We start from the raw sequence: 8,013 nt of genomic DNA, 5'->3' as shown, positions 1-8,013 counted from the left end.
TTGTTCAGCACCCACTTGGTTTTCTCTTTCTGTGTTAGCCTGCTGAGAATGATGGCTTCCAGCTTCATCCATGTCCCTGTGAAGGACATGATCTCATTCCCTTTTATGGCTGCATAGTATTCCACAGTGTATTTGTACCACATTTTCTTTATCCAATCTATCACTGATGGGCATTTGGATTGGTTCCATGTCTTTGCTATTGAAAATAGTGCTGCAATAAACATACGTGTACATGTGCTTTATAGTAGAACGATTTATACTCCTTTGGGTATCTACCCAGGAATGGGATTGCTGGGTCAAATGGTATTTCTGGTTCTAGATCCTTGAGGAATTGCCGTACTGTCTTCCACAATGGTTGAACTAATTTACATTCCCACCAACAATGTAAAAGTGTTCTCATTTCTCCACAGCCTCGCCAGCATCTATAGTTTCTGGACTTTTTAATAATCACCATTCTGACTGGCAAGAGATGATATCTCATTGTGGTTTTGATTTGCATTTGTCTAATGATCAATGATGTTAAGCTTTTTAAAATATGTTTATTGGCTGCATAAATGTCTTCTTTTGGGAAGTGTTTGTTCATATCCTCTGCCCATTTTTTGATGGGATTGTTTGGTTTTTTTTCTTGTAAGTTTGTTTAAGTTCCTTGTAGATTCCGGATATCAGATGTTTGTCAGATGGGTAGTTGGCAAAAATTTTCTCCCATTCTGTAGGTTGCCTGTTCACTCTGATGATAGTTTCTTTTGCTGTGTAAAAGCTCTTTAGTTTAATCAGATCCCATTTGTCAATTTTGGCTTTTGTTACAATTGCTTTTGGCATTTTCATCATGAAATCTTTGTCCAGGTCTATGTCCTGAATGGTATTGCCTAGGTTTTCTTCAAAGGTTTTTGTGGTTTTGGGTTTTACATTTAAGTCTTTAATCCATCTTGAGTTAATTTTTGTATAAGATATAAGGAAAGGGTCCAGTTTCACTTTTCTGCATATGGCTAGCCAGTTTTCCCAGCACCATTTATTAAATAGGGAATGTTTTCCCCATTGCATTTTTTTTGTCTGGTTTGTCAAAGATCAGATGGTTGTAGATGTGTGGTATTATTTCTGAGGTCCCTGTTCTGTTCCATTGGTCTATATGTCTGTTTTGGTACCAGCACCATGCTGTTTCGGTTACTGTAGCCTTGTAGTATATAGTTTGAAGTCAGGTAGCATGATGCCTCTGACTTTGTTCTTTTTGTGTATGATTGTCTTGGCTATTAGGGCTCTTTTTCGGTTCCATATGAAATTTAAAGTAGTTTTTTTCTAATTCTGAGAAGACTGCCAATGGTAGTTTGATGGGAGTAGTATTGAATCTTTCAAATACTTTGGGCAGTATGGACATTTTCACGATATTGATTCTTTCTATCCATGAGGATGGAATGTTTTTCCATTTGTTTGTGTCCTCTCTTATTTCCTTAAGAAGTAGTTCGTAGTTCTCCTTGAAGAGGTCCTTCATGTCTTTTGTTAGCTGTATTCCTAGGTATTTTATTCTCTTTGTAGCAATTTTGAATGGGAATTCATTCATGATTTGACTCTCTGCTTGTCTATTGTTTGTGTATAGGAATCCTTGTGATTTTTGCACGTTGATTTTGTATCCTGAGACTTTGCTGAAGTTGCTTATCCACTTAAGGAGTTTTTGGGCTGAGACAATGGGGTTTTCTAAGTATAGAATCATGATGTCTGCAAACAGAGATGATTTGACTTCTTCTGTTCCTATTTGAATACCTTCTTTCTCTTGCCTGATTGCCCTGGTCAGAACTTGCAATACTATGTTGAATAGGAGCGATAAGAGAGGGCATCTGTGTCTTGTGCCAGTTTTCAAAGGGAATACTTCCAGCTTTTGCCCATTCAATATGATACTGGCTGTGGGTTTGTCATAAATGGCTGTTATTATTTTGATATTTGTTCCATCAATACCTAGTTTATTGAGAGTTTTTAACATGAAGGGATGTTGCATTTTATTGAAGGACTTTTCTGCATCTATTGAGATAATCATGTGGCTTTTGTCATTGATTCTGTTTATGTGATGGGTTATGTTCATTCATTTGCATATGTTGAACCAGCTTTGCATCCCAGGGATGAAGCCGATTTGATCGTGGTGGATAAGCTTTTTGATGTACTGCTGGATTTGGTTTGCCGGTATTTTATTAAGATTTTTGCATCCATAACTCACCTTTGTAACCACTCCTTTGTGTAGGATCTAAGAGAAGAAAGGAAAGACTTCAACCCACTCACCAGAAAGGTTCAGCCATATCTGATGTTTTGGAGGTGGCAGAGAGTGATCTCAGAGGACAAAGGAAAGGGAACAATGAGAAGGAACTCATCAAAGAAAAGGGGTGGCATAATCCAGTGGTCTGGAGTCAGCAGTAGGTCCTGAGTGGGGAGGGGGTTAATGGATGTGGGTATAGTTTGCCAGCTGATTACAGGAAGTGGACCAAACAACCTTATTTCAACAGGACCAAACAACCTGTTAGTTGAATGATCCATCAAAGAAAACATGATAACATTTGGAACTGAAGAAGCTTTGTTCTAGGAGCCCTGGCTGAGTATACTGGAGAAGGAACACTGTTTCTCTCACTTTGCATAGGTGGCAGTGAGGGTTTTATCCGTGAATTACATTCTAAGCATGGCAGATTTTCCAGGAGAAGAAATATCTTGCATTTTAGGCAGTGCTAGTTCTGATTTCAGCGACATGGAAAAATGCAAGAGACCCCATGTGGTGCAGGCGGGAAGGATAGCAATGAGAGGAGAGTCTCAGCCTGGAAGAGGCCTTGACCTTTAGGCCTGGAACTTTAGGATCCTGGCTCATTCTCTATGGGGGTGAGTGAGTGTGTGAAGTACTGGATGCCTAATCCTTGAGACTCAACCGAAATTGCCATTAGAAGCACTAGCTAAGCCTAATGTAGAATGGGTATCCTTTCTACCACCCAATTACCCTCCACCTTCATGACAGAGGCACAGGCCCAGTTTCACTGGCATGTTGCATGCGAGATTCCCCTTGTGGCCATAACGGCAGTGGCTAGGAAAACAATATTTTAACCTTGGAACAGTTTTTCCATGAATCCAAGGGCCAAAGATTGGAGAGTTCTGGGTTGCTAGCCCTAGCAGCAAGCAATAAAAACTAACAAGTGCCCCTGGAGATGTTAGAATACTTGGGTAGGGAAGCTACAAAACACTTGACTTCCTACAGTTAAACAGAAGGATAGTTTAGGAACAATAAATGTAGGATATTAACATCCATGAGACTATCTTTGTACTTAACTGGTAGGTGGAGTCCACAATGCTTGGACTTATTATGAACACTTATCATCTCATATGTTTATTCATTGACATATCCAGGAACATTTACTGAACATCTGCTAGATGCTAGACACTGTGCTGTCCTCTGGGGACACATTAGAAATAAGGTAGACATGATCTCTCATTTCCCTGGATGGAATTTGCAGTCTAGCTCTTGCATATCTCCAAGGAAACTTCACTATTTTAAAATCATCTTTTCGTTAATTTAAGGCAATGAAATCCAAGGATTTAAAAATAAAAACCTTGCAAATCTGTATAATAGTTAGGCATAGACACTACTTTTAGTGTGTAGAAATACTGATTTTTGCTATTGTTTCCTAAAATATGGTAGAGAGAAGGTGGAGCTCCTTTTATATTCTTGACTGTAGAATGTTCCTTCTTCTCCAAATGGGATGCTCATCTTCTCAATTTTTTTTCATGATTTCAGCATCCAGGAATGAATAGGACACCTGGCCAGCAAGCCAGATGAACTAATTCCACCCAGAAATCAAATGGATACCAGATAGCGCAGCCAAATGATCCTCTCATCCTAAAGGTTGATGTTAGATATTTCCAATTCAGGAGAGATAGGTCAAATAATTTTTCAGCTTCAGACTTTCAGAAAGAAAAATTGCTATTCCATTTTATGATAAATATATTTGCTTAAAGTACCACCCACAACATGAAATATAGCTTGGTCCTTTGGACCCTCTTTAATGCTATTACGTACATGTCAACACCTGCCATGTCAGGCATTAATAATGAGTCAAATAAAATAAATGATTATTAGCACTTAAGACATGTTAGATTTTGCTAGACAATAAGAAGCTTATCAACCCTACAAAGGGATAAATAGATTATATACAGTATGGTTCAGACTTTCAAAAAAATTATAATCCTATTGGGAAGGTAAAATTAAAACACATGAGACAAGACTAAACACAAAATATAAAGAAGTGTATAATGAAGTGACTGAAGCATTGGCAAGTGGTAAAGGGAATTAGGGAATATCACTAATGATTGTGATAGTCCAAGAAGGCTTTACAAACTAAATGGCACTTGTACTGAGTCTTGAGAAAATGTCATAGGTGAAAGTAAACAGGAATTTGCAGATAGGAGATAAACAAAGGTGTAGGTAGTGGTATAAACTTTCTGTGTTTATAGAGCAATAAGTAAACTGGTGTCACTGGAGGGAGAAATGAAATAAGATCACTAGAAGGGTGGATGCTTTAGGGAGGATTTGAAAGCTAAACAGAGATGTTTTAATGTGGGTAAAGAGTAATAAACCATAGAAGATTCTGTTGCAGTGGAAGCACATGCCTTAATTAGTGGCTATAGAAGAACTAATCTGAAAACTATATGAGGGCTTGAAGTGAGAAAGTTGAGTCAGGGAGACCATTAGGTTACCCAGCCACTGGCCAATGGTGTCATTTCTCCACATATAAAACTTTAGGCTTATCTATAGGGGATTTGTTGGCATGAACGGATAAGGTGTAAGTTAGAAAAGAGTAATTCAATGAAAATTCCAGAGATTGGGCAAGAAAAGGGAGAGGATTAGTTTGGGAAGTATGAGTTAGAAGGAGAAGAAAATAGGCACAACATCTACTATTTGGAAGACCCTGGTAACACAATGCTCTGTGTTGGAAAGATTATCTTGGAAATTCTGTTAATGAGCAATAATTAGAGGGCCTTAAAAGAAATTATTAGCAGGGCCCTGATTCTGAATGACCTATACCACCCTGATGAAATGTACACATTATGGAGCAATGTTTAGAGAAAAGAAAAATATTAAGGTCAATGTAAACCCCCATATCCACAAACAGGTCATTATCTGAGATCATCTCTAGATCAAAATGTGAAAAATGCACTATGTTCAAATTAGTATGCAAAATAAAGCATCAGCATGAAGTGAATTTATGTGATTATGCCATGAATAATTCATTAGTACAACCAGTACAATTAGCTGCTTATAATATAATGATATAACTATTGCATTCATGTACAATAAGCCTGACCCAAACTGTAGTAATAACAAGACTTATTTTGAAAGCAAAAGAAAGCCCCAAATGTGTCAAATCCAAAAGCACACAATGGCATGTGTTGCTAGCTAGTGTGAAAAAAAAAAAAAAAAAAAAACTAGTAAGAGGACAGAACAAGTTTATGCCTAAAATTTGCTTTTTAAAAGAGTGTGATTGCTTATCTGAGCATTTTATCAAACATCAAATAAAATTGCTTTACTCAGCATTGTAATCTAATTGATATGTTTGCTAAATATATCTTGACACATTTAAAAATTACTATATAAAGTACGTAGATAAACAGTGAAATAGCTAGTTATGCTGAATGAAAAGCATTTTAACTATAGAAAAATCTTTCTCAGGCTTTCAGTAGATAGAAGTCAGGGTTAAAGAGAAAGAAGATAATCAATTCATGGGCTGGATCAATAAGTAATGGTATCTGCAGTCTGATTCAACAGAGTCTTTACTTTTCAGAATACAGGTTCAATTCACTTTAAGTCCTGCTTTAATCATTTTCATGATGAAATTACATCTGTCTTGGACTTCCATTGTGTTGGTTCAGGCTAAGCTTTCCCATTGAATGGACATTCTGTGGGGGGTTTCCTTAGAACTTAATTCTGCTCTTGTTTAAGAGCTGCCATGCTTTTACCTGTAAGAATCCAGGACAGTAATGTACTTGAACTTGGCTTTAGGTAACTTCTAGTTGATTTTGCTTCAACACTAATTAATGGACAACAGTAAAATATGTAAATTGAAAATGGTAAACCGGAGTGATCATTTTGAAAAGATGCACCAAAAATAATACAATGTTCTTATCACTGCTCTAGTCATCCTGTTAGCGAGCCATTTTATGAAGGTGAGCAGTGTTGCAGTGAGGTTTGAGGGGCTGCTTTAAGTGAAATCATGCATCTCAAGCAGGAATGCATGCTTATATTGTTTCCTACACTAGCAGTTTCAAGTTACTCATATTTCCCAGTTACAATAAGCAGTGATACATTATTGGGCATCCTTGCACATTTGTAACAATATACACAAAAGTAAAATGACATCAGATGATTATTGGTGTAATGAGGCTCATCTTAGGCTTTTTGTATATATGGTCTCTCTTAATTCCCATAAATACCCTCTATAAGAGACTTTCCTTTCTGAACGTGGGACACACGTCCTCTAAAACTAATCTATTGAGAAACATTTAACATATTGAAGAAAATACACACGTATGTGCAAAACACAGCCATGCTTATATTGCTGAGTTGGCAAGAAAGTTCAAGCTAAGCCAAAACATGAGTCCAGTGCAAAGAGTGCTAGCTGAACTACAGGTAATTTCCAGAATTATCTGAACAGGAGCTTTGATATTAATGAACTACATGTGTTAGGAAGAGATAAAACCTAAGGCCCTCAAAGAAAGAGAACTGGGTTAGAACTTCAAATAAAGCTGGGATTCCAAAAGTTTGCTCATTTAAATGGTTAGCGAGAAACAAAATACAACCAAATAAGTATCTCTTGTAAAGGTTATCATCAAAGAAAATTGGATTGTTCTTTGTCCTGATGAAGAGAAAAAATAAAAACCAAAAGCAAATGTAAACTAATACACTTAGCAAAGTTGCAGGATAAAAAATCAACACACAAAAATCAGTTGTATTTCTGTATACTAACAATAAAGAATTCAGAAATAAAATTAAAAATAAATTCTTTTTAGAAAAGTGTTAAATATTATAAAACACTAAGTGATAAATTTAACAAAGAAGATACAAGACTTGTATGCTGAAAACTATAAGATATTGTGGCAACAAATTAAAGAAGACATAAATAAATGGAAAGTCATCGTGTGTTGATGGATTAAAAGACAATATTGTTAAGTTGGCAATACTACTTAAAATAATCTACAGATTCAGTACAATCCTTATCAAAGTCCCAATGATTTTTTTTTTTTGCTGAAAAAAATGCTAATGAAATTGTAAAGGGCCCTGGATAACCAAAATAATAAAAAAAGAAGAACAAAGAGAACTTACATTTCTTGATTTTAAAACTTATTACAAAGCTTGAATAATCAAAACATTACAGCAGGGGAACAAGGGTAAACACATAGACTAATGGAATGAAATTGGGAGTCCAGAAATAAACATATACATCTATGCACAATTACTTTTCAATAAGGGTGTCAAAACCATTTAATGGGGAAATATAGTTTCTTCAATAAACTGTGTTGGGACAACCAGATATCTACATACCAAAGAATAAAGCTGTTCCTTGATTTCATATATATAAATATTAACTCAAAGCTGATTAATGACCTAAATAGAATAAAAACTACAAAACTCTTAAAACCTTAGAAGGTTAATCGTCATAATCTTAGGCTTAACAATGCATTGTTAGATACGACATTGAAAGCACAAACAACAAAAGCAAAAAAAATAAATAAATTAGACTTCATCAAAACTGAAAATCCCTTTATGCATCAGAGCACACTACAAAGAGTGACAATACAACCTACAAAATGGGAGCAGATATTCGCAAATCATGTATCTAATAAGAGCCTATAGGCAGAATTTATAAAGAACTCTTTTAACTCAACAACAAAAGACAAACAACTCCTTTTTAAAAATGAGGAGGGACTAAAATGGCCAACTAGAAACAACTGTGGTTAGGGGCTTCCACCAAGAAGAACAAAAACAAGTGAATCCTG

This window comes from Homo sapiens, chromosome 21 (genome assembly GCF_000001405.40).
Source record: "Homo sapiens chromosome 21, GRCh38.p14 Primary Assembly".
NCBI lineage: Eukaryota > Metazoa > Chordata > Mammalia > Primates > Hominidae > Homo > Homo sapiens.
This window is presented reverse-complemented; position numbering follows the sequence as displayed.